At 43.9% G+C, this 26,605-nt stretch overlaps 5 annotated features.

The window, feature by feature from the left end:
* Window positions 6,284-6,817: an enhancer, noted in NCBI's record as "H3K27ac-H3K4me1 hESC enhancer chr2:220528008-220528541 (GRCh37/hg19 assembly coordinates)". NCBI's record gives its function as "activates a minimal SCP1, AML or CMV promoter by ChIP-STARR-seq in naive H9 embryonic stem cells {active_cell/tissue: H9 hESC(naive)}" and the evidence as "EXISTENCE:reporter gene assay evidence [ECO:0000049][PMID:30033119]".
* Window positions 7,909-8,076: a transcriptional cis regulatory region, noted in NCBI's record as "candidate enhancer chr2.6714 targeted for multiplex CRISPR interference". NCBI's record gives its function as "positively regulates CHPF gene expression with high confidence in K562 cells {active_cell/tissue: K562}" and the evidence as "EXISTENCE:mutant phenotype evidence [ECO:0000015][PMID:30612741]".
* Window positions 23,514-24,283: an enhancer, noted in NCBI's record as "H3K4me1 hESC enhancer chr2:220510542-220511311 (GRCh37/hg19 assembly coordinates)". NCBI's record gives its function as "activates a minimal SCP1, AML or CMV promoter by ChIP-STARR-seq in naive H9 embryonic stem cells {active_cell/tissue: H9 hESC(naive)}" and the evidence as "EXISTENCE:reporter gene assay evidence [ECO:0000049][PMID:30033119]".
* Window positions 24,284-25,054: an enhancer, noted in NCBI's record as "H3K27ac-H3K4me1 hESC enhancer chr2:220509771-220510541 (GRCh37/hg19 assembly coordinates)". NCBI's record gives its function as "activates a minimal SCP1, AML or CMV promoter by ChIP-STARR-seq in naive H9 embryonic stem cells {active_cell/tissue: H9 hESC(naive)}" and the evidence as "EXISTENCE:reporter gene assay evidence [ECO:0000049][PMID:30033119]".
* Window positions 25,826-26,597: an enhancer, noted in NCBI's record as "H3K4me1 hESC enhancer chr2:220508228-220508999 (GRCh37/hg19 assembly coordinates)". NCBI's record gives its function as "activates a minimal SCP1, AML or CMV promoter by ChIP-STARR-seq in naive H9 embryonic stem cells {active_cell/tissue: H9 hESC(naive)}" and the evidence as "EXISTENCE:reporter gene assay evidence [ECO:0000049][PMID:30033119]".

Genomic DNA, 26,605 nt, shown 5'->3' with positions numbered 1-26,605 from the left:
AACTCAAATGTGCACCCACAGCATTATTGTCTGATTATGTAGTCAATGAACAAGGAACAAATATGTCTATCTAGAATAAAGCACCCTGTTTACATCAAGGTATTTCTTCACACAGGGATTGAATTTGAATACATAAATATTTCCATATGATTTGTTAATTACCTTTAGTAATAAATGTACTTAGATCCTCCCAATGCAAAAAGAATCTCTGAACAGTCAACTGATTAAAGAAAAAAAGCAGGGGATAGATTAGCTTGGAAATCAAAGAGGTAAGACAAAGCATCTTGGGTGAGCAACCGATAACTCCACTCCTCAGCTGCTTGCAGACTCATACCTTCATTTATTTGACCATCTGGGCACTCAATGAATTAAAGTCCACAGCTGTCCAGCCCTCCTCTCATACTCCCAGTTTAGGATGTTTTGGGAAGACAGGGAAGGGCTAGGGGTGGATCCCCAGGCCTGAGGCCCGTGAGGATGTCAATTTCAGGGAAGTTCTAGGGATTCCCGCTAGACTAGGGTTTCATGAGAGCTTTGATCTCCCCACTAAGCCAACAAAAAACATCTGCAGCAGGACAGAGAAGACTGAGACACCCTTATATCAATTCAGTAAATACTTCCTGAGCACTGATTATGCTTAACTCTATGGGGACTCCAGATCAAGGATTCAGGCATGAGGTGACACAAGTCGAGTTCCAACACATATCAGGCACTTGATATTTACTGAATGAAGGGTTGGTTGAAGAAGAGGGCAGTGTGAATGGAGAACAGAAAATATTTAGTAATATTAGTAATCGCACAGAAAATATTTGAGGACTTGATAACTGTCTGGGTGGAGAAAAGAAAGAGAAGGGAAATTGAACTGTGGCCCCAAAGGTTTCTCACCCAGGGACCAATGTAACAGGAATACCAAAGGTGCAAATAGGGACATTGGAGGAAAGAAGGACATTCTGGTGGAGACCGCAGCCTACCTGTCCTCAGAGAGGACTTGTTCAGAGCTGGCACAAACCGCTCCAGGATGGTTTCCCTTGGAGAGCTGAAATTGGAGGTCCAAGATACCGAACTGTAGAAACAGATTCTCCAGTTGGGGGTCTCATTAAAGGCCTATATTTCAACCACCAATATGATCCATTAATTTCTGGCTTATGCTACCCAAATCTTCCTTACATGGGCCCCAAACCTGTTTCTCTGTAATTACTCAGATTAAAATTTTCAGAATTTAACATTTCCATCTTTTTCAATTTATTTGCCCATGGTGCTTAAAAACACATTCTCCGGTCTTTATGCTCTCATCTAATTTCACCCGGTCTCCTCCCTCCATAGAAATAGCTACTGACATTCGCTTTGCCTTCCTGAGACTTGGCAGACCTGCTTTCTTTCTCATTCAGGAGGCATGAAGGTATCTGATGCCTGGGAAGGGAAGCCAGTCGTGGGTTCAGGCTTAACCAAACTGCATCCGTTGCGTACAACTGGTGTAAATGATCTAAATTGCTCTGATGTTGTGTGACTCCCCAGATGCCATGCACTGATTAAGAGTCTGCCTGTTTCTTCTGGGAACCCCCATCCCAGAGTCAGAGGGTTGCAGTATCACGGGGCAGGGATCGTACGGCCATGGGATGGGGCAGTCACTCAACTGACCCAGTGACTCGTCTCTGTGGCCGTGCACAGATGGAAGAGCAAAAGGAAGCCGGGCGGAAGCCAGAGGACGCTTCCTGCTGAAGCTTCTTCCTGAATATAAAAATGCCCAGAGGTATCCTCATTCGAAAAATGCTTTGCCGGGCGCGGAAGCTCACGCCTGTAACCCCAGTGCTTTGGAAGGCCGAGGCGGGTGGATCACAAGGTCAGGAGATCGAGACCATCCTGGCTAACACGGTGAAACCCCATCTCTACTAAAAATACAAAAAATTAGCTGGGCGTGGTGGCGGGCGCCTGTAGTCCCAGCTACTTAGGATGCTGAGGCAGGAGAATAGCTTGAACCTGGGAGGCGCAGGTTGCAGTGAGCCGAGATTGCGACACTGCACTCCAGCCCAGGCAACAGAGCAAGACTCCGTCTCAAAAAAAAAACAAGAAAGATGTTTGCGCTGGAAGTTCCTTCAGGTGAGATTGGGAGTCTACTGCTTCCCAAACTTCTGTCACCTGGGTCCCACCTTCAGAATTTTTGCCTTCGTCACATCACACTTAGATTTATAATTTTCTTAATACTTTTTGCTTAAGTCAACTCACACTGTATTTAAATAAAGTTACTTTCTAAAAAAAACTTTATGTCACTGTTATAAAAGGGAAAACCAATTTCTCTTGCCATATAAGTGCAAAATGTGAGATAACCATAAAAATAAATGTAATGAAAAACTCTCACAAATTAATCCCTGCTCTCTGTTAAAAGGAGATTAGCAAGTGCTAAGAGAGGTTGTTGAAAACATATTAGCACCAAACTGAGATCTTCTCTTTATTAAATCAGAATTAAAAGTAAATTCATCATTATAACAGGAAACACTTACACAAAACTGTGCCAGGCACAGCTCTCGTGACAACACCAAAAGGCAGGTATCAATCTTATTACCTTGAGAAATGTGGAAACTGAGGCACGGAGAGATTAAGTAACTTGCTCATGGTCACTTACATACTAAATGGTAAGGCCAGGATTCCAACCCAGCCAGTCTGGCACCAAACAGAATCCTTTGGCCGGGCATGGTGGCTCACATCTGTAATACCAGCTACTTGGGAGGCTGAGGCTGAGGTGGGCGGATCACTCGAGCCCAGGAGTTCGAGACCATCCTGGCCAACATGGTGAAACCCGTCTCTACTAAAAATACAAAAATTAGCCGGGCTTGGTGGCAGGCGCCTAGAATCCCAGCTACTCGGGAGGCTAAGGCAGGAGAATTACTTGAATCCAGGAGGCGGGGGTTGCAGTGAGCTGAGATCGAGCCACTGCACTCCAGCCTGGGAGACAGAGCGAGACCCTGCATTAAAAAAAAAAAATTAATCCCTTTCTCATGATGTTGCTTAACGTTGTGCATGTATCACCTGCAACCCCCACCCCAACTCTTCAGCAACCAATGATCAAGAGCAGCCTCAGTCAGAAGGGAGATGTGTCAGGCCAAGCTCACACATTCAGAGTCAGGACTACTATTCACTGCACCGTGACCTGGATCAGAACAAATCCTGCTCTCAAGGCCTATCTGCCTTATTAACTTGTTACCTTCAACAAGTATTTCCTTTACAACTCACTTATCATCTCTGTTTCTAGGTGAGCTCTGCCTGTTGCTCTGCTTCCTGTTGTTCAAATAATATGGTCCTTTTTTTTTTTTTAGACAAGGTCTCACTCTATCATCCAGGCTGGAGTGCAGTGGCGTGATCACAGCTCACTGCAACCTCAACCTCCCGGGCTCAAGCCATCCTCCCACCTCAGCCTCAGCCTCCCAAGTAGCTGGGACTATAGACACACACCAACATGCCCGGCTAATTAAAAAAAAATTGTAGAAATAAAGTCTCACTCTATTGCCCAAGCTGGTCTTGAACTCCTGGGCCCAAGCAATCCTCCTGCCTCAGACTCCTCAAGTGCTGGGATTACAGGTGTGTGACACCACACCCGGCCAACATGGTACTTCTTAAAACAACTGGACAGACTTCAAGAAACCTGAACATTTAACACTTAATTTTCAGCCTCACCATCTTCAGGCTTCAAACTAATCACATTGTTCCTGGGGCGGGAGGAGCGAGGGAAACATCTCACTCAGGCCCCTGCAATTCCTTCAGGAAAAAGGGAGACGCAGCCTCTCGAAGCTTGAGATCTGATTAAAGAGGCAGCAGTTCCAACCATTTTAGAACTATTGACTGAAGAGACTTCGGTAATTGCTCAAGCCAGGGTTGGTGACTTAATATACTCGTGTTTGGATTAGTTAATAGTTCAATTCCAAGAGGTTATGATTGTAAATCCCAGGGCTGCTGGCTTAGCTTCAACGTGCAGCTCAGGACGGTCTGTGAAGTTGCCATTTACAGTCAATTTCCTCTGAGGCAGAGGGAGAAGAAAATGGAAAGAGGGAATATTTGAATATCAAGTGAGTGCTTTTAATGCCTATGTTAGCCCCTGGAGAATCCTGGTGAAGTTGACAGTACAAGTTGACGACCACACAGTGAAGCTGACAGTAGACAGGCTGGGACCATACGTCACCCTCTTTGGAGTGGCACATTCATTCCTCAAAACCTAGGGGGTCAGCTGGGCGCAGTGGCTCACGCCTGTAATCCCAGCACTTTGGGAGGCCGAGGCAGGCGGATCACAAGGTCAGGAGTTCGAGACCAGCCTGGCCAATATGGTGAAACCCTGTCTCTACTAAAAATACAAAAACTAGCTAGGCGTGGTGGCACATACCTGTAGACCCAGCTATTCAGGAGCTGAGGCAGGTGAATCGCTTGAACCCGAGAGGCAGAGGTTGCAGTGAGCCAAGATCACGCCACTGCACTCCAGACTGGGTGACAGAGCGAGACTCCATCTCAAAAAAAAAAAAAAAAAAACACCTAGGGGGTCATGATGGTAGAAAATACATGGGCTTGAGTCCCCTCTCCCCACCCATAACTCCCCCACTTCACCCTCATCCACTCATCCTCAGGTCTCTCCTCCACCAACTGGTTTGTCTCTCTGCCCCTCCTGGCTGGAGCCATCCTATTGAAACCTCTCAATTAATATTTCTAAAGCCACCCTGATTGTGCCCCCTCTTAAGGACAGGCCAGAACCCATTTCTGGCAGGTTGGCCCTGCCAGCCCAAATGGTGATCTGGGAAAAGACCTGTTTATAGAAGCTCTTATTTAGCTTTGAACCTGATAAATTACTTACATTTAAAAAAAAAAAAAAATCCAGGGCTTTGCTGAGGCAGAAGCCAGGTCACTCCCTGATTGGACCGTATTTACAAAATGCGTGCAGAACAGGCTAAAATAAGTACGAAGCCAGCAAAGGGAAAGGAGCTGGGAGCATTCACTGCAGCCGATGACAGCCTGTCCTCTGGAGCCCAGCCAGGAAAACACCAGCTCCTCTTTCAGCAGGCAGTTCACACATCTCAATTTACAGCAGTGGGGTCCTAACTGGACTCAAACACTGCAGAGCCCTCTCCCTACCACCTTGCCCTTTAGTAAACCACTACTTTCCTAAATGAGGCAGATGGAGTTTTCTTGCCCTTTCCAAGCTACAGTGATAGAAGGGCCACCCCAAGGCTTTGGTGGGGTGGCAAAAAGAAATTCCAGGAGCATATTAATGCGTTAGGCTTTTTTTGTTTTTTCTTTTTTTTTTGACACAGAGTCTTGCTCTGTCACCCAGGCTGGTGTGATCTTGGCTCACTGTAACCTCCACCCCACATGTTCAAACGATTCTCGTGCCTCAGCCTCCCAAGTATCTGGGATTACAGACGTGCACCACCGCACCCAGCTAACTTTTGTATTTTTAGTAAAGGCGGGGTTTCACCATGTTGGCCAGGCTGGTCTCAAACTCCTGACCTCAAGTGATCCACCCACCTTGGCCTCCCAAAGTGCTGGGATTACAAGTATGAGCCACTGCGCCCGGCCTAATGCACTTGACTTTTGCTCTGAGGGGATCTCAGGGTTAGCAAGAGAAAGATGCTTATCTTGTAGAATTTCCCCCCTTGAGTGGCTAGAAAAGCCAGTCCCAGGCCCAGAAGAAGGTTAGGTTTCCTGAGAAGCTAATGAGGGCCCCTCCTGAGCTCTGGGTAGGGTAAGGCATGACTCACCTGGTCAATGGTTTTGTAAAATTTGCAGAAATAAGACATTTTTGTATGCTTTTTCTCAAAGAAGACCTCTAAGTATAAACTTCAGGCTCCACAAAATTCAAATCTACCCCTGCCAGACCTGGGACCGCGCCCATAGCTCCCTCCTCCTTTTGCACAACAGAATTTTCCCTGCTGATACGGTTAGCCTGTGTCGCCACCAAAATCTCAACTTGAATTGTATCTCCCAGAATTCCCACTTGTTGTAGGAGGGACCCAAGGGGAGGTAATTGAATCATGGGGGCCTGTCTTTCCCGTGCTATTCTCATGATAGTGGATAAGTCTCATGAGATCTGATGGGTTTATCAGGGTTTTCTGCTTTTGCTTCCTCCTCATTCTCTCTTGCCACCGCCAAGTAAGAAGTGCCTTTCACCTCCTGCCATGATTCTGAGGCCTCCCCAGCCATGTGGAACTGTAAATCCAATTAAACCTCTTTTTCTTCCCAGTCTTGGATATGTCTTTGTCAGCAGCATGAAAACAGGTTAATACACCTACCGACACTAACTGGTTGACACACTAACCACAGAAACCATAAGGTAAAGGAAGGAGTGATGGGACCCATGAAGAGGACAGAGCCAGAGAAGAGAAAGAAAGAGCCAGGAAGGAAGAGCCATGAAGGCCTCCAAGGGGACAGGTGAGGAGCAAGGTGGAGAACTGCCTTCCAAGGTCTTTTAGACTCAGGATAGCCGAGGCAGCCTTGTGTAGAGCAACCAGACTGCTGGGGTTCAATATGGGCTCTACCGCTTATTGGCTGGGTGATCTTAGGCAAGTTACTTGACCTCTCTGTGCCACAGTCCCCTTCTTGGCCAAGTAATAAAGAGTAGGTGTTTCATTGGATTCTGAGGATCAGATGAGCGTTGTGCATATAAAATGCTTAGACCAGTGTGTGACACATAGAAAGCACTAGCGGGTGACAGTACCTTCCTGCTTTATCAAACATGAAATGCACAGCTAAGGTATTCTTTACAACAGGGATCCCCAACCCCCAGGCCGAGGACTAGCACCAGTCCGTGGCCTGTTGGGAACCTGGCTGCACAGCAGGAGGCGAGCAGCAGGCCCAGCGAGCATTACCGCCTGAGCTCCACCTCCTGTCAGATCAGCAGCAACATTAGATTCTCCTAGGAGCGTAAACCCTATTGTGAACTGTGCATGCGAGGGATCTAGGTTGCATGCTCCTTATGAGAATCTAACTAATACCTGACTATCTGAGGTGGAACAGTTTCATCCAGAAACCATTCGCCCATCCATGGAAAAATTGTCTTCCACAAAACTGTTCGCTGGTGCCAAAAAGGTTGGGGACCGCAGCTTTACACAATGCCAAGCCCACTGTATATTTTGTCACTCCAATAGCTTGCAAGTGGTAACAATATCTTCCTTAAAAGCATTCAGAGACCAGCTCCCCTTGCCTACTGTGCATTTCCTACACCAGCAGTAGAGACCTGTCCCAGGCAGGACCTACTCCACCTTCCAGCATACTCCCCACTTCCTCTCACACAAACTGCCCATTCTGGCTGGGCACCTCTTTCTCTCCCCAGGTCAAGCCATGCTCCTCCCAGCCTCAAGCCATTGCTTTCCCCCATCAGGAATGCCTTTCATCCTCCTTTCTAAATCTAGATCTCTGAATTCCTGTGACACTCAGGTATTTCCTTCTTCATTCTTGCACTTAATGATTGCCCTCTGGCTCAACAAAGAAAGCATGGCTTTGTGTTCATGCTAATGATCATCTGAGCTTCCACCAAAGTATGAGAACATGAAGGAGAACAGGCATGGGGGAGAGTGGCAGGGAGGGGGTTTATATTTGTCCTTTCCTTTATTCATTCATTCATTCCTTCAAGCAATGGTTATGGGGTACTCACCATGTGCCTATATTCTATAGAGGGATACAGTGCTCTAGAACAGGGCACATCAGAATTACCTGGAGGGCTTGGGAAAACACAGATTCTCAGGGCTAGAATTGGCTTATGAATTTGCATTTCTAACAAGATCCCAGATGATGCAATGCTTCTGGTTCAAGACTACAGTTCAGGTAGCACTGCCACAGAAGGCAGCCCCCACTTGGTGACTGATCTATGATGATTCTGATTCACCAGTCACCTCTGAGCAGCATTCCCTCACCCATGCATGCATTCCTGCTGGCATCAGAGTCTCCACACAGAGAGTATTTCCTCTGGAATACTCTTCAATACTTGTACTTCCTTACAAAGCTTGCCTGACTTCATCACAGCCTCCCTACCCAGCACCCTCACTCCACACACACACACACACACACACACACTTCTCTACTTCTGCTCCTTATTTGTTTCTTTCGTAGGACTTTCCAGAATTTGCATGAGGTACTTGTTTACTTGTTTCTCCCCCTAGAATAGAAACTCCATAAAGGTGGGAACAATTTCTCTATAATTTTTCTGTGAATCCCCGTGAGGTGGGAAAAATTAAAGAAAGAAAGAAAAATAGAAATTAAAAAAGAGAAAAAACAAGCTGCCTGTATTAGGCTGACTCATTTCAAAGGCAGTAACAGGCAACGTTTTGATAATGTTATCTAAGGGCCAGAGCTCAAAGGAATGTGCTCTGAAGACTCTCCTAGTTCTCCCTCAACATAACGATGTGAAGAGATAAGTTTTCCTAGCTCCCCTTTAGTGTAAGTAAACTTCCCCTCGAATCCCATCCCCTCTACTATGTGACTATACCTTGCTCCTTGCTCTGTAAATTTTATGAGTTCCTGTTTTTCCCATAGTTAATGATTGTAGGTTCCTGCTTCTTCACCTAAGCAGTATAGCAAAGGTTACCAGACATGCCTGAGCAGGTCTAGCTTGCAGCCAGCTAGACACCATGGTGGGGGTTGCAAGATGAGTCTTTGTGAAACTCCTTTGAACTAACCAGATAATGACCATCTGGGCTGCATAGTAAGGAGTATACTGAACCTGAGTTATGAGCCTGCCTTAGTTTGATTAATGGCCTTTGTCTTGCCTCTGTACATTCGTGTTCGTGCCACTTAGGAGTGGGTATATAAGCAAAACCTTGTCTTTGTTCAGGGTCCAGTCTTTGGACGTTGAGTCCACTGGGTCTGAGGACACTTAATAAAAGATCCTCCTGTGTACCCTGAGGTCTCTCTTGCCCTCCTGATTTTCTGCAATACCCAGTGTCTAGCAAAGAGCTTGGAAGATAGCAGGTGCCCAATAAATGTGTTGATCCATTAACTAACTCTTCTGACAATATTTGGTGAGTGCTCACTCTGTGCCAGGAACTCTTCTAGGTGCTGGGGATACAACAGTGGACAAAATTGACCCAAAAAACCCTCAGTTAGTGGAGAATACATTTTCATGGGGGGAGCCTGATAGTAACCAGGGAGTGTGATAAATGATTATATTGTATAAGACACTATAAGGTGTTAAGTGCTATAGAAAAAAAGTGAGCAGAGCAAGGGAGCAGGAATGCTTGCAGTGGGGAGCTGGGCTGTGGGTTGAGATTTTAAATTGAGTGGTCAGTGTGGGCCTCATGGAAATAGTGACATATGAGCAAAGATTCAGGAGTTGAGGGAGTTTGCCAAGTGGATATCTTTGGAAAGAGCTCTCCAGACAGTTTAAAGTCCTTAAGGCAGCACTGTGCAATGGAACTTTCTGGAATGATGCTTTCTACCTGTGCTGTGCAATACAATAGCTACAGGCCACCTGTGGCAATTGAGCACTTGAAACGTGGCTAGTGCAACTAAGGGACTCAACTTTTTTCTTTCTTTCTTTCTTTCTTTCTTTCTTTCTTTCTTTCTTTCTTTCCTTCCTTCTTCCTTTCTTTTGAGAAATGCTAGAATGCAGTGGCACAATCATGGCTCATGCAGCCTCAAATTACTGGGCTCAAGTGATTCTCCCACCTCAGTCTCTCCTCCTACCTTTATGAGGAAAAGAGGTTTAATTGACTCACAGTAGCTAGGACCACAGGCACACACCACCACACTCAGCTAATTTTTAAATTTTTTGTAGAGACAGGGTCTTGCTGATATGGTTTGGCTCTGTGTCCCCACCTAAATCTCATCTAGAATTGTAATCCCCATGTGTCAAGAGAGGGACCTGGTGGGAGGTGATCGGATCATGGGGGTGGTTTCCCCCACGCTGTTCTCGTGATAGTGATTGAGTGAGTTCTCACGAGATCTGATGGTTTAAAAGTGTTTAGCAGGTGCCCCCTCACTCTCTTTTTCCTGACGCCATGTAAAGAAGGTGCTTGCTTCTCCTTCACCTTCCACCATGATTGTAAGTTTCCTGAGGCCTCCCCAGCCACACGGAACTGTGAGTCAATTAAATCTCTTTCCTTCACCTGGGATTACAGAGGTGAGCCACCACGCCCAGCCTCAACTTTTAATTTTAGTTGATGTTAAGTAGCTGCATGTGGCTAGTGGAAATGACTCAAGCAGTACAGCCCTAAAGCATGAACAGGTGAAGGAATTAAGTGTGGCACAGCGGAGGGGGCTGGGGAATGGTGGGAGATGAACTCAGAAAGGCACAACAGGATGGAGAAGGACTTTATTGGTCATTGCAAGGACTCTGGCTTTTATCCCAAGTGAGATGGGAGCCATTGGAGGGTTCTGAGAAGAGCAGGGATATGATATGATTTCTGCTTTTAAAGGATTCCTTTAGCTATGCTTTGAGAGTAAACACAGAGGGGCTGAGGGTAGATGGAAAGAGACCAGTTGGGAGGCTGGGAGAGGCAGCCAGGTGAAAGACAGTGGTGGATCAGACCAGGATGCAGCAGTAAAGGAGATGCTAAGTGTCAGGTTAGAGATAGATTTTGAAGGTTGAGCCCCCAGGATTTCCTGGCAGATGCTGATTAAAGCATATATTAAGCTCCTAATATATGCCAGGCACTAGGTATGAACTACTTCTGATCCAGATTTGCCAGAGAAATGTCACCCAGGCTTTGACTGGTACCAGCTATTCCTAAGACTGATTGCACCACAGGGCATTTCTCACTCTCAATGTCCCACAATTTGGTCTTCAAACATTGCCTCTTCAGATCAGAGCCAATATAGCCTGCTGGCACTGTGAAATTTGTTGTTATTCTTATTATTATTCACCCAGCATCACTGCATGGTATCTACATTAAGGAAATAGATGACTTGAGTCCTCCATAAATCCTTCATTCTCCTGCTTTATTTCCCTGTCCATCACCTCCTCATTTATTCTTAATATTCAGGTTTTTGCATTCAAGGCCGGGCCAGCTCTCTTGAGGACATCCATCTTCTTCCTTGCACATCTGCCCTGTCCTCCTGAGACTCACACAGCCTGAGGATGGGAAATTGAGTCATCTGTCTTCTGTAACCATATGGATAAGATGTAGTCATTACCGTTCTTAGCATTGTTGTGCTTTGGAAGCTAATTAAGACAATTAGCTATTAAATACCAAAAACAATTAAGCTAATTGAAATAAACCATATGCAGTTTACAACCTTGCGTAGACAAAAAATTAACATGTGGCTGAATGGTAGCACTACAGACACTCCCATGCCAAAATAAATCAGGGACTATGGGAATCAAAGACGGAGGTGTCTTTGCACCCAATCCGTTTACCACCACAAAATGTTTCTCAAAAACATTCGGCTTGATTTTTGGAGGTTTCTTGTATTCTGAAAAAGAAAAAAGTGCATTCCCGTCCAGATGTTTCTTTCAGGCTGTAAAACAGCAGAATCATGCTGTTTCCCTGCCTCTGACTCAACTCTGTGGCTGGATGCAGCACAGAGGAGAAAGGCAGCTTCTCAGGGGACCTCTGAAGCCTATCTTTCAAAGTTAACCAAATCTCTAGGTGGAAAGGTGTCCCATGGTTTTAGGTTGCGACTGGAAGTTTTAGATCACATTTATAGTTTCCAGAGTGGAGCCAGAGGAGGAAAGAGAGGCTATATGGATGAGGGGTGCTCTGTAGGGAATGTGTTTATCTGGAATTTTTTCAGCTGCTTGTGCCAAACAACTCAACTAGAATTTGCCTAAACCGAAAATGGAATTTAGCTAGGGAGGACAAGCTGCAGGGACCAGGAACTTAAAGGTTCCCAGGGACTCAGCCCAAAAAAGATTCTGTCTGTCTGTCTGTCTCTTATCTCTGCCCGGTTCTGTGTTGGCCACACTGTGGCTACAGAGAGGTCCCCCCTCTCTGTGAGGCAAGGACCACGGATGCTGCCAGTGCCAGTTTCGTAACTCTAGTGGGTGAAGAGAACTCCTTAAAACCAATGACCATGTGGCCCCTTGTCTATACAGACCTGGCCTTTGGACCTTTCACCATAGCTGTAATATAGACTAGGATGGTTCATCAGATCCACAGGCCCATCTCTTCCCGCTTCCATCTCATTTATGGCCAATTAGACACACAAGGAATGGAAAAGCTTGCAGAAGAGCAAAGCTGATAACTAGCTACATGGTCCCTAGATCAAAATGCTAACAAAAGGATTTGACTTTGATGGAGAAAGATTAGAAACAGCAGTGCCTAGGGAAAAGTGTAAAAGAGATCTGAGCATTCATAAAACTCCATTTTTTTGTAGTTTTACCATCCTGCCATCTCTATGCTGGATATTAAAGAAATGAGATTATAAACAGCCAGGATTCCATTCCTCCAGCATCTGCTTCAACCACAGTCCACAACAGCCTTTTATAAAATGAGGGAAGCAATGAGGTAGAGAGGAAATAGCCTTAGGAAGAGCCAGCTTCTTCCTCCTCTATAACTGATCTGAGACATTATCCATTTTTTGATTGACATTTGCTATTTGGGAGGTGGAGTCATCCAGCATCTAAACCCACTTCCTATGCATGAGAAATTCCCTAACTTAAAAGCAGTCCCGGTAAAAGTTTAACAACCATCTACGAAAAAAAGGAGGGGAGGACCTAATTTGTAGTGTCTGCTGATTTCTCTGGTGTAAATACTCCCACAATGGCCAATTTCAAACTATTAGTGTGACATCACTGAATGCAGAATTGGGAAGAAATGTGCCATAGCACATCACTATAGAATATTTCCACCATACAGATATAACAGACATAAATAACTTCCAGAATATAGACAATAGTAAAAGTAACAAAATAATTGGGAAGTCATGAATTTTGAGTGTTTAGTACCTTTATTTTTAATATAATGTATTTACCTGTGTTTGAATATAATGTATTTATTTTTTAATTATACATTTTATTTTAAGATTAGTGTCACAACCAAAATATTGACATGGACGGGGCAAAATTAGAGAACATTTCAATCACAATAATGGTCCCCCAAGTTGCCTTTTTGTAGCTGTCCCCTCCCTAACCTCTGGAAACCACTAACCCGTTCTCTATTTCTGCAACACTGTCACTGTAAGAATATTGTATAAATGGAATCATACATTGTGTAGCCTTTTGAGAATGGCTTTTTCAACTCAGTGCTATTCTCTGGAGATACACAGTTTACTGTGTTGTGTGCGTCAAAAGCTTATTCTTTATCACTGCACCATTCACCATTCACCCATTAAAGGACATCTGCATTGTCTCAGTTTTTGGCTATTGCAAATAAAACTGCTATAAACATTTGTTTAGTTTATTGTGTGAATATAAGTCTTCCTTTCTTTGTGATAAATGCCCAAGAGTGCAATTGCTGAGTCATATGGTAGTTGTATGTTTAGGTTTTTAAGAAACTGCCAAACTGTTTTCCAGAGTGGTTGTCCCATTTTACCTTTCCACTGGTAATGTATGAGTAATCCAGTTTCTCCACATCCTGGCCAGCATTTGATGATATCACTATTTTTCATGTTTCTCTGTCTCTCTCTGTCTCTCTCTCTTTCTCTCTCTCACATCCTGATAGGTGTATGGTGATACCTCATTATGGTTTTAATTTGCATTTCCCTAATAGCTAATAAGATTGAACACCTTCTCATGTGCTTATTTGCCATCTGCATATTCTCTTCAGTAAAATTTTTCTTCATGTCTTTTGCCCATTTTTTAAGTGGATGGTTTGGTTTTTTGATGTTGAGATTGAGGAATTTTTTTTTTTTTTTTTTTTTTTTTTTTTTTTTTTTTTTTTTTTTGAGACAGACTCTTGCTCTGTTACCCAGGCTGGAGTGCAGTGGCATGATCTTGGCTCACTGCAACCTCTGCCTCCCGGATTCAAACGATTCTCCTGCCTCAGCCTCCCGAGTAGCTAGGATTACAGGCACATGCCACCACACCTGGCTAATTTTTGTATTTTTAGTAGAGATGGGGTTTCACTGTGTGAGTCAGGATGATCTCGATCTCCTGACCACGTGATCCACCCGCCTCAGCCTCCCAAAGTGCTGGGATTACAGGCATGAGCCACCATGCCTGGCCCTGAGGAATTCTTTATATAGTCAAGACACTAGTCCTTTATTAGATATGTGGTTTGCAAATATTTTCTCCCACTCTGTACTTTGTTTTTTCATCCTCTTAACAAGGTCTTTTGCAGCATAAAATTTTAAAATTTTAGTGAAGTCTATTTAATCAATTTTTTCTTTCCTTTTATGCTTTTGTTGTCAAGTCAAAGAACTCTTTGCCTAACCCTAAACCCAAAGATGTTCTCCTGTTTTCTTCTAAAAATGTTTATAGTTTCAAGTTTTACATTTAATTCTATGATCTATTTTGAGTTAATTATTGCATAAGGTATGAGATTTATATCAGAGTTTTGTTTGTTTGTGTTTGCCAATGGATGTCCTTTTGCTCCATCACCATTTGTTGAAAAGGGTATTTTTTCTTCAATGAATTACTTTTGCACCTTTTGTCAAAAATTGGTTGGGTATATTTATGTTGGTCTATTTCTAGGTTTTTAAATTCTGTTCTATCAGTCTTTGCAACTATCCCTCCACCAATACCACACAGTCTTGATTACTGTAACTATATAATAAGTCTTAAAATCAGGTAAACTGATTCATCCCACTTTATTCTCCTTTTACAAAATTATTTTAGCTATTCTGGTTTCTATGCCTTTCCATATAAATTCTAAAATAATTTTGTCTATATCTACAAAAAAGCTTTGCTTAGATTTCAATAAAAATTGCATTAAACCTATATATATTAGTTTAGGACAAATTGACAACTTTACAATGCTGAATCTTCCAATCCAGGAACGTAGTATGTCTCTCCATTTATTTAGATCTTCATTGATTTCTTTCATCAACCTTGAGTAGTTAATATAGTTTGGATATTTGTCCTCTTCAAATCTCATGTCACCTCAACGTTAGAGGTGGGGATTAGTGGGAGGTGTTTGGGTCCTGGGGGTGGATACCTCAAGAATGGGTTGGTGCCATCCTCATGGTAATGAGTGAGTTCTCACTTTATTAGTTACCACAAGATCTGGTTTTTAAACAGTGTGGCACCTCCCCACCCCCTTGCTTTCTCTATCACCTTATGACACGCCTGCTCCTCCCTTCCCTTCCACTATGATTGTAAGGTTCCTGAGGGCTTCACCAGAAGCAGATGCTGGCACATGCTTGTTGCACAGCCTGCAGCATCATGAGCCAAACAAACCTCTTTTCTTTATAAATTATCCAGTTTCAGGTATTTCTTTATAGCAACACAAAATAGACTAATACAGAAGTTTTCAGCATGTAGATTCTGTAAATTTTTATTAGATTTATAAAAAAGTATTTCACTTTTGAGTGGGCTGCATATGGTATTGTACTGTTAATTTTGGTATACATGTGTTTACTGCTAATATATAGAAATGCAATGGATTTTTGTATATTTATCTTGTATCCTATGATTCTTGTTGAACTAAATCACTTGTTCCAAAAGTTTTTTTGTTTTGTTTTCATTTTTATAGATGTCTTAGGATTTTCTATGTAGACAGTTATGTTATCTGCAAACAGGGACAATTTTTTTTCTGACCTGTATGTCTTTTGTTTCTTTTTCTTGCGTGTTGCACTAGCTAGAACTTCCAGCACTGGATTGAATAAGAGTGGTAAGAGAGGATATCCTTACCTTGTTCCCAATCTTAGGGGAAGTGCATTCACTCTCTCACCATTAAGTACAATATTAGCTGTAGATTTTGTGTAGACACCCTTTGTCAAGTTGAGGAAGCCCCCCTCCACTTCTATTTTCCTAAGAGTTATTAACATAAATGGATGTTGAATTTTGTCAGATGCATTTTCTGTGTCAATTGATAGGATCATGTGATTTTTTTAACTTGTTAACATGGTGGATTACCATAATTGATTTTTAAATACTGAAACAGCTTTTCATCTCTAATAAATTCCACATGATCATGATATATAATTTTTTTCTATATTGATGAATTATATTTGCTAATATTTTGTTAAAGATTTCTTGCATCTATATTCAGGAGAGATGCTAGTCTTTAGATTTCTTTTTTGGGGATTATTTTTGTCTGGTCTTGATATCAGAGGAATACTAGCTTCATAAAGTTCATTAGGAAGTATTACCTCCTCTTCTATTTCTGGAAGAGGTTGTGTAAAATTGGTAGCAATTCTTATTTAAATATTTAGTAACATTCTTCAGTCAAACCATCTTGGCCTGGAAATTTGGAGGTGGGGTAGGTGAGGAGGAGTTTTAATTTAAGAAATTAGCTTTGTTAATCATTACAGGGCTATTCATTAGAGGCTATTCATTACAGGGCTATTGTCTCTTTTTTTTAAGAGACAGGGTCTCACTCTGTCACTCAGACTAGAGTGCAGTGGCTTGATCACAGCTCACTGCAGCCTTAAACTCCTAGACTTCCTAGACTGCAGTGATCCTCCCATCTCAGCCTCCTGAGCAGCAGGGATTACAGGCACAAGCCATGGTGCCCAGCTTCAAATTAGCTCTTTTATATAGAGTGAGTTGTGGTCATTTGTGGTTTTTTGAGAAATGGTCTATTTCATCTAGGTCGCTAAATTTATGTGTGCAAACTTATTCATAGTATTCACTTATCAGTCTTTGATGTCTGCTGCAAGGTCTTCAGTGATATCCCATTTCTTTTTTTTTTTTTTTTTTGAGACGGAGTCTCACTCTGTCACTGAAACCTCTGTGTCCCAAGTTCAAGGAATTCTCGTGCCTCAGCCTCCCGAGTAGCTGGGATTACAGGCATGCACTACCACGCCCAGCTAATTTTTGTATTGTTAGTAGAGATGGGGTTTCACCACGTTGGCCAGGCTGGTCTCAAACTCCTGACCTCAGGTGATCCACCTGCCTCGGCCTCCCAAAGTGCTGGGATTACAGGCGTGAGCCACTGCACCCGGCCTGTTTCATTCTTGATGTTGGTAATATGTGTCCTCCTTTTTGTCAGTCTTGCTAGAGATTTGTCAATTTTATTGACCTTTTCAAAGAACAAATTCTTTGTTTCATTGATTTTCTCTATTGTTTTTCTGTTTTCAATTTTGCTTATATCTACTCTTATCTTTATTATTTCCTTCCTTCCGTTCACTTTGGGTTTAGTTTGCTTATCTTTTCTAGGTTCTTCAGGTGGGAGCTTAGATTATTAGTTTGAAACTTCTCCTCTTTTCTAATGTACACATTTAATGCTATATATTTCCCTCTCAGCATTGCTTTGGCTGTGTCCCACAAATTTTGATGTGCTATATTTTAGTTTTCATTTAGTTCAATAATTTTTTAAATTTTCCTTGAGTCTTCCCTTTTGACTCATTAATTACTTAAAATATGTTGGTTTAGTTTCCAAGTGTTTGGAGATTTTCCTATTATTTTTCTGTTATTCTAGTTTAATTCCATTGTGGTCAGAAAACTCTATATTATTTTAATTCTCTTAAGTTTGTTGCAATGTGTTTTATAGCCCAGAATAGGGTCTATCTTGGTATATGTTCCATGAACATGCAAAAAGAATTTGTATTCTGATGGTTTAGTCTTAGTGTTCTATAAATGTCAATTAAATCCTCTCAGTTGATGTTGAGTTCTTCTATATCCTTGCTGACTTTAGCTATCAATTGTTCTAGCAATTGTTGAGAGAGGGGTGTTGAAGTCTCCAGTTACAACTGTGATTTGTCTGTTTCTCTTTTCAGTTCAATTGGGTTTTGCTTCTCCTATTTTGCAGCTCTGTTGTTTGGTACATGTACATTTAGGATTGCTATGTCTTCTTGGTGAATTGACTATTTTATCATTACATAGTATCCCTCTCTGTCTCTTACTGCTGAATGATTACAAAGGTTCTGACTCCCCACTAGGCATCCTCTGACACCATCCAGTGGTGCCGAGACCAGCTGGGTCAGGGAGACCCTAACCTAGCGGCGCTAGAGGAATTAAAGAAACACACACAGAAATATAGAGGTGTGAAGTGGGAAATCAGGGGTCTCACAGCCTTCAGAGCTGAGAGCCCCGAACAGAGATTTACCCACATATTTCTTAACAGTAAACCAGTCATTAGCATGGTTTCTATAGATATTAAATTAACTAAAAGTATCCCTTATGGGAAATGAAGGGATGGGCCGAATTAATTTCAGCAGGAACACACCTTAAGACACAGATGGCTCATGCTTTTGTTTGTGGCTTAGGAATGCCTTTAAGCGGTTTTCCGCCCTAGGCGGGCCAGGTATTCCTTGCCCTCATTCACGTAAACCCAGAACCTTCCAGCTTGGGCGTTAGGGCCATTATGGACATGCTACAGTGCTGCAGAGATTTTATTTATGGCCAGTTTTGGGACCAGTTTATGGCCAGATTTTGGGGGGCTTGCTCCCAACACAGTGGGAAGGAGGAAGAGTGCCTTATTACTGCTAGATGGGGCTGGAAGTCCAGGCTCTACTTGGTCTCCTATGACATCACTTCATCGTGAGTACTGAGGTGCCTTGACAGTTTCTCAAGGTTGGAAGTATAAGCTGCCAATTTAGCCTTTGTTAGCCTGAGTTGGGATGGGGAGATCACAGATTTTTCTGCTGCATTTGGCTGTTACTGTCTGAAAGTTTTCTGTCTTGCTCTGTTTCTTCTTTCCTACCCCTTTGACTAGAGAGAGCAGACTTTGGTTGGGGCTTTTTTGCCTACACCTATTGGCATTTCTGCATTGCCAGCTTCTTCAGCTCCAAGTCTGGGATATATGACACAAAAAGAAAATACAAGGAACTCAGTAATGTATTATTCCTTGGGTCCCAAGGTCCCTAGCTGGTCTGCCTTCTTCTTGCCTCCATTCAGAGACTTATATTTCTTTTATACTTTGCAAGAGGAATAGAAACAGTATATCTACTATAATTTACTTTTTAATAATGACTATGTTTAACAACCAGTTCACAAGTCCCTGAAATTTTTACAAGCAGCTCTTGTAAGCTAGCTCCAACACATCACTACTGAGTGTCAGAGCCAGAGCTGCCTCCCACCACAGAAGCTGAAATGCCAAAAGCCTCTTTCCCAGCCTTCTAGCAACTTCGACACAGGCACATGACATAAGCCAGTCAGGAACATCCACCTGAGACCTTGTGATGGATGCAGGTATTAGTGATGGATGCAGAGAAGAGGGGCAGTGCAGAATCCTCCTGGTGGCCGTTCCAGGGGTGATATCCCCCACCAGGGGCGCAACTGTGGCATCTCACGTTCCACAGCAACAGCCACATTGCCACCGGATGTTTTCTGTGGCATGTCTGTGACCATGGTTCTGAGTTGGAGTCTCCTACCTTCCCAGTGTCTGTGAATGGCTTTTCAACAGCCCTGTTTCTGCTTAAATTAGCTGGAGCTGGCTTCTGTTTGGTGCAAATAAGAATTTTGACTGATACACATTCCCACTGGCTCTCAGCAGCAAACCCCCTGGGAAACAAAAACCTCAGCCTCTACCACAGAATGTCCTTATTCTTGCTCAGGGGAAATTATCTGAGGAATAATTAACAGCAAACAGAACAGTAGAATGTAACTTAGAAGGGCTTACTGAGAGGGACTGCTAAGACCCCAAAGCCATCACGATTTAACCTGCTTTCTTAGTTGCCAAATACCCTCCTCAGCAATTCTGATCCCCCGCACAGTAAGCGTGTGTTTAATTACAGTCTCCTGTGAGATGAGCAATTTGGCATGGTGCAGAATATACCATCTAGCCTGACCTTGGGAACAAGACAATCCAATGACACTAAAATCTTACTTTCCTTTCTCCCTTTCCCACTTCCGTTCTCTCCCCCTGCACTGCTGAAGACTCACTGGTTAGGAAAATATTTTATGTCTTATGTCCTTGAGGGTGGCTTTTGCGCACTGAAAAGACCACTCTGAGATTTACTGGGGTTTTGAAAATCAGTATTCAATTTATTAAATTTATAGATTTAGAAATTTATAGCTCTTCCTTAACGCTTTTAAAATCACCTTAGGAATCTTATTGTCCTATTTATAAGTCTAGCAAATATTAACAATCACTTTGAGAGGGTTTTGATTAATGCTTAGCCCCATTTACACACTTAGTTAATTAAAAGTCTTTAACATTTTAAATGGCACTTAATAAATTTAATAAATTCAATTCCTTTTTAAGTATTTCATCTGACTGATAAAACTTCCCAAGTACAAAAGTAATTCTTACAGATTTAATAAATTCAGCATACAAGACAGAGTGAACCTTAAATTCTCTTCAATGTCCAAACTATATGTAAACTTGGAAATATTTCAACTTATCACAAATTTCAATCAATTATTCAAGTACATACATTAAAATGAAATATTGAAGGTGGTCTAATATTCCAGTAGGCCGAATTCTCTAAAATTATGCCTACACAAATATTATATATGCACAAATTCTTTAACTTGAAAACATGAAAACTATAGTTTTGATTCCCCTAAACATTTGTGTGCTTAATTTTAAATTTTCCCAGGGCTAAAAAAATTAAACGAGATGAAAATAAATTTTCCCAGGGCTAGTAAAATGTCTATCCACAAGAGAGGTATTCCCTTCTCAGCCACCTGAGGTTGCTAATCAACCAGAGATTCTGGGTGGGATGCCGACTGCATCTTAGCTGCTGACTCTATGGACCTGTAGAGCCCTATTTCCAGTTTTTAACTTTCTAACTTAAAGATGGAGGTGGCTGAGTAGACTAGTCCCTTGATTACAAGTGATCAGTTACTAAAGGTCAAGCCAGAGTGTAGTCCATAACTCCCTATCCAGGTTCTATACCTGATTGTGTATTTATGTGACCATTAAGGCTTATAACTACATATTTGTCCATCTATCTCTACAGAATCCTGCATCCTTTTCATGTGCTTCTTATCTCATAGGACCACACACCTCTTATAGATGTTTAAACGTCACCTAATTGAATTCTAGTGACGTCACAGCTTTGTCCAATATCCTGAGATCATTCTCCAAGTCACTGCTCACCCCCACCCCCTCACCCTACCCATCCCACCCTCTGTGGTCTCTGAGTTTCTGACTCCCCTAGGAATGCAAAAATGGACTCCCCCAGGATCTACACACCTTTTGACGTGGCGAAACTAAAGAAGAAAGTTCCTAAGCCTAGTAACTCTGCTGAGAGATTATTTGGGGATTCCTATAGCACTACAGCCACTGCTTCCCCCCTCCTGAACCCCCTGCTTCCTGAGCAAAACCACTGCAGTGATCAGGGTCTGTTGAAAGAATATGGTCTATGAAGGAGGTGCTGGAGCCAAATTCCTAATCTCTCAGAAAGATGAGGCCACTTAACCAAAGTCCAGCTAGTGCCTGAGGTGAGGCCAAAGCCGAGGATTCCTGACTGCCAGTCCCCATGTTCTGGCCACTCAACTGTAATGCCATCAACAACAGCAAAGCCAGCAGAGCAAGAGAGGTGCTCACAGATCACAGTCCCAACCAAGCAGCCTAAACATTAGAACGTGCTACGTTCAGCCCTTTCTTTTTTTTTTTTTTTAACTTTAAGTTTCAGAATACATGTGCAGAACATGCAGGTTTGTTATATAGGTATACGTGTGTCATGGTAGTCTGCTGCACCTATCAACCCATCACCTAATGCATTAGCTATTTGTCCTGATGCTCTCCCTCCCCTCACCCACCACCAACCCAACAGGCCCTGATGTGTATTGTTCCCCTTCCTAAGTCCATGCGTTTATGTGCAGCCCTTTCTGTTGCTTGATAAACAGAATAGAAATAGGCATGGGTCCTGCCCTCAAGCTTACTTTCTAAAATAAATATGCATACTGTGTATTTGCATTTTCATACCAAGGAGAAGCAATAATAAGAAATAACTTTCAACCACAGTGGAAATTGTAGTGGAAATCAACCATAGGAAAGAATATATTGGTTTAGGACAATGGTTCTTAAACCTGACTCCATATTAGAATCTCTGGGGTTTTGAGGGGATGTCGGGGGAGGGGAATGTTTAATAAAATACCAGTGTGAGCCTGACATGGTGGCTCACACCTGTAATCCCTGCACTTTGGGAGGCCAAGGCTGGAGAATCAGTTGAGCTCAGTTCAAGACCAGCCTGGACAACATAGTGAGACCCTATTTCTACAAAAAATAAAAATTAATTAATGTAATTTAATGCCAGTGTGAACCTGTAGAGATGAGGCTCAGACACTGATATGTTTTGAAACACTCCAGGTGATTCCAGCGCTTAACCAGAGCTAAGATCCTCCGACTTGAAGCAATGATTTCTGACATTTTAGTCCTTTCCCTGGCATTGTCACAATTTCTTGCTGTGTATGCTGTATTAGTCCATTCTTGCACTGCTATAAAGAAATACCTGAAACTGGGGCCAGGTGCAGTGGCTCACGCCTGTAATCCTAGCACTTTGGGAGGCCAAGGTGGGTGGATCACTTGAGGTCAGGAGTTCGAAACCAGTCTGGCCAACATGGCAAAACCCCATCTCTACTAAAAATACAAAAATTAGCCCGGCATGGTGGCGCACACCTGTAATCCCAGCTACTCTGGAGGCTGAGACATGAGAATTGCTTGAACCCGGGAGGTAGAGGTTGCAGTGAGCCAAGATGGCACCACTGCACTCCAGCCTGGGTGACAGAGTGAGACTCTGTCTTGAAAAAAAAAAAAGAAAGAAAGAAAAGAAAAGAAAAAAAAGAAATTCCTGGAACTGGGTAATTTATAAAGAAAAGAGGTTTAATTGGCTCGTGGTTCTGCAGGTTGTACAGGAAACACAGTGGCTCTGCTTCTGGGGAGACCTCAGGAAACTTACAATCATAGCAGAAGGTGAAGGAGAAGCAGACATGTCTTAGATGGCCAGAGCAGGGGTAAGAGAGAGAGGGGGGAGGTGCGACACACTTTTAAATGACCAGATCTCATGAAACCTCACTCACTATCACAAAAGCACCAAGGGGGAATCTGTCCTCATCATCCAATCACCTCTCACTAGGCCCCACCTCCAACACTGGGGATTGCAGTTCAACATGAGATTTGGGCAGGAACACAGATCCAAACCATATCATATGCCTACTAACTGTACAGTTATAAAGTTAGTACTTTTCCTTTAAATCAATTCACTAGTTTTAACATATGTATTTAGACTTATCCTACACAATACTGTCTGCAAAATTATGGGGCTCAAGTACTCATTGTATTTTTTTCTAAAACACATGAAAATATATAACTGTGACAGCTAAACTATCAAAACCACACCTAAAATCATCTCACACACCACTACTGGTATCCTTCCCCACTTGGGGAAATATTGCCTAAGGACTCCTCTGATCTCAGAGAAATGTTCCCCACTTCTGGGCTCTTTTCAGTAGTTTTGAGGACTTGCTGCTTTATATTTGTTGACACAACTTAGTTATTTTAAAATGTTGTTTGCTGATTGGGTACAGTGTATACGGCTCGGGTGATGGGTGCACCAAAAGCTCAGGAATCACCTCTCAAGAAGTTATCCATGTAACCAAACACCACCTGTTCCCCAAAACCTATTGAAGTAAAAATAATTTTAAAAATTAAGTTTAAAATATTGTTTGCTGTGTGGGCCACATTCGTAGAACAAATCCACCTATCTCAAGAGCCTGATATCCTGACCAGCTGCTCCGGACCTTATAGTCTAGGCTGGATGTCCCTGGAAGAGACACCACTTCCTGAGAGTGTGTCCTTCCTAAGCTCCCCCAACCCACCTTCTCTCTCCCAAGCCTAGAAAAGCTGCATGAGCTCCCTGGTGGCCCTAGAGCGCAAGGACCGCTATGGTCTCTCTTATGATAACCAGTTGTCACAGACAAGGACGCACTGCTCACTGGATCTAAATGTGGTGGAGACTGTGACCTCTTGGTCCTTCTTTCTCTGCCAACTGCTCACCCCCTTACCCTCCATGCACCCCTGTGGCCAGGCACTGTGGGAGGCATTACGAGTACAAAGGTGACTCAGGCCAGGTCTCTGCCCATCTCACAGCCTATAGGGAGACAGACAAGAACACGCAATGGGCGTGCAGTGAGAGAGGAGGCGTGGCAGGGGATGCTCAGGGACTCACGAATGAAAGTCTGGTTTTGCACCCTCCTCCACGCTCCCCTCACCCCCACCTTCCCACCAGCTCTGAGCCCTTGCTCCCAGCCCCTTCCTCATCTCCAGCTGTGCCCCACCCCCTCTTTGTCCCTCCTCTCCCATGGTCCTAAGCCTTGTCCCTGGAATTGCTGGCATTAAAGAGCTCCCTGCTCCTCCCCTCATCTCCCAAACCCAACTGTGACTCATCCACCATCCAGAGAACAACCCAGTGGCTGTCCGCTTAGTCAGCACTTAATAAAGCATTGTTCAGTAAAAAGAAACAGTTCCAACAAAATTAAAAATAATCTCAGCAGTAGGCTCAAATATTAAATCTTCCTTCCAGAACATAAATCCTACAAACACTGGAGTCTGCTCTTTGCACAAGTGGTGAATCACAATTATATAATTTATTTATCTGGAAACTACATTCCTCACTTTGCATTTCCTTTTTTGCCACACTGGATTCAATCCACCATTCCCTACTTGCCCAAAATCTGTTTTATTGTTGTTTTCGGCAATGGCTTAATTGCCAGCTGCATGGGCAGCGCTCAGCGCCAGTGCCCTTGAGTTCTGTGTCACCTTTCCTTTGCTGCTCAGAATTCCCTTTGAGAGCTCCAAGTGTCAACAGGCATGATCATTATTTGAGTCACCTGATAAGATACAAGAAGAAATGTCACACAGGCTGCCAAATGGGACACATTATTGCCACGTTCTGTGCCCTAAAGGAGGGGCCTAGGGCAGTCCCAGCAGATGGTCTATGAGCTCTGACAGCCAGACGCTGTCACAAGGGCATCAGATATCTTGAGTGAGCCGAATCCTCAGCATGAACAAGAAAGTGACAGCCGCCCTCTTTGCCCAAAGTAAAAGAATGAGCTAGCACTCCTCAGGGCCTGAAGTGGGCCTGCACTTGTCCGGGGATAATGAAAGCTTTGGGCAGCTACCCAAGATGTGGCCATAACCCCACTCGGAAAGCAGTAAGGGGCGGGGGAAATAGCGACAGGCCGGATGTCCTTACTGAAGGGCTGGTGCACGTGCACGTTCCCAAAGCCGCTTCCAGTCCAGAGCAGATGGCAGAGAGGCCGGATGTTCGAAAATACAATGGCCTTTGTCCCCTTTTTAGTAACTGTCCTGTCCTACCCCCCAGAGCTGGGCCATCAGGGCCGGCTGGGGCTCCCCTCCACTAACTCTCCTCTGCACCTTGAAGAGGGCCTGAGTTGAGGGCCCCAGCACTCCGAGAGGAGAAGCTCAGAGGCCCGGTAAAGAGAAAGTCAGAGGAAACACCGGGGCTACAAAGGGCTTCAGGACAAACTCTGAATGTCCCCATATGACACGCTCTCTGGCCAGCCAGGCCCCAGGCCAGTCCCGGTTGCCTTTCTGTGGGTTTGCCGTGTATCTTGTCCGCCAGGTTATTTCTGGCAAAACTGAGACTGTTGCACAAGGAGTGGCCTCGGGAATCCCAGAACTGCCTCTCTAAGCCAGCAGAATCTAAAATGGTCCAGGGTCCCCAAATCCGGCATCACCCTGGCGTCTAAGGGATTGGGCTGCTATCTCTGCTCCTCGGAAGGCCAGAGATCAAGAAAAGAAGAGAGACGTTTTCCATTCCCTCTGTGGCCCCACAGCCTCTGATTTCTCCAGTAGCTACAATGGAGCTCATCCCCTGTGTCACACAGCCAAGCTGGGTCTCTCTTTCCTCTCCTATCCCTCTGGGTCTCCATCCCTGGCAGCCATTTTGGTTGCTGCAGCGTCCTGGGTCTTCTCAACCCTCCATGGTCCCCCTGAGTGTGCTGGGTGTGTTGGGTGAGCTCAGAATGTTAGCTAACCCTCGCCTCCTGCCCTTCCTAAACTACGGCCGCCCTCCCTTGCCATAGATGGGTCGTCTTTAAATGAGTAAGGCTGCCAGGGTGACAAGCGGTTATCACTGGCTGTCACTGAAGCTTTTTCGCCTACTGCTCTGAGGCCTCAAGGCCTAGCTTTGCTGGAGTCCACCCTGACCCACCAACCGGGACCAGGACTCATTCCCCTTGTCAGAAGGCCCCGCCCCTCTTTTCATTTTGCCGTGGAGGAACACCCACAGTTCCCGGCTATTTGCCAAGCCGCGAGATGACTGACACCAACTGTGCCCAATGAGGAATCCACCTTCTGGGCCCACACAGACATTTCCTTGCAGGGGCTGGAAAAAGTGCAGTTCCTTCCTGTGGGGTCTAGGAATCCCCGAGACCAAACAGGGGAGCCTTTCCTGCATCCGGGCCCGCAAGGAGAAGCAGGACTCTAGGAAGGAACCAGGGTTCTCATATGCAAAGCCTCTCAACCAAACTTGTCTGAGAGGCCCCTGACATCTCTGTTTGGAATCTTCTCTGCACATGTCCCTTCTAGGTTTTGCGTTTGACCTTGACTTTGTTCCTTGGCAAAGTTCTTTTGAAATTCCACCCAGCCTTGGCCAATCTAAAGGAAAAGGAATCTTGTCCTCACATACACATACAAAGGAGAGGCTAAATGTAGTTAGAGGCCACATGGCACCAGAGACC

The sequence above is a fragment of the Homo sapiens genome, chromosome 2 (genome assembly GCF_000001405.40).
Source record: "Homo sapiens chromosome 2, GRCh38.p14 Primary Assembly".
Lineage (NCBI taxonomy): Eukaryota > Metazoa > Chordata > Mammalia > Primates > Hominidae > Homo > Homo sapiens.
This window is presented reverse-complemented; position numbering and strand designations above follow the sequence as displayed.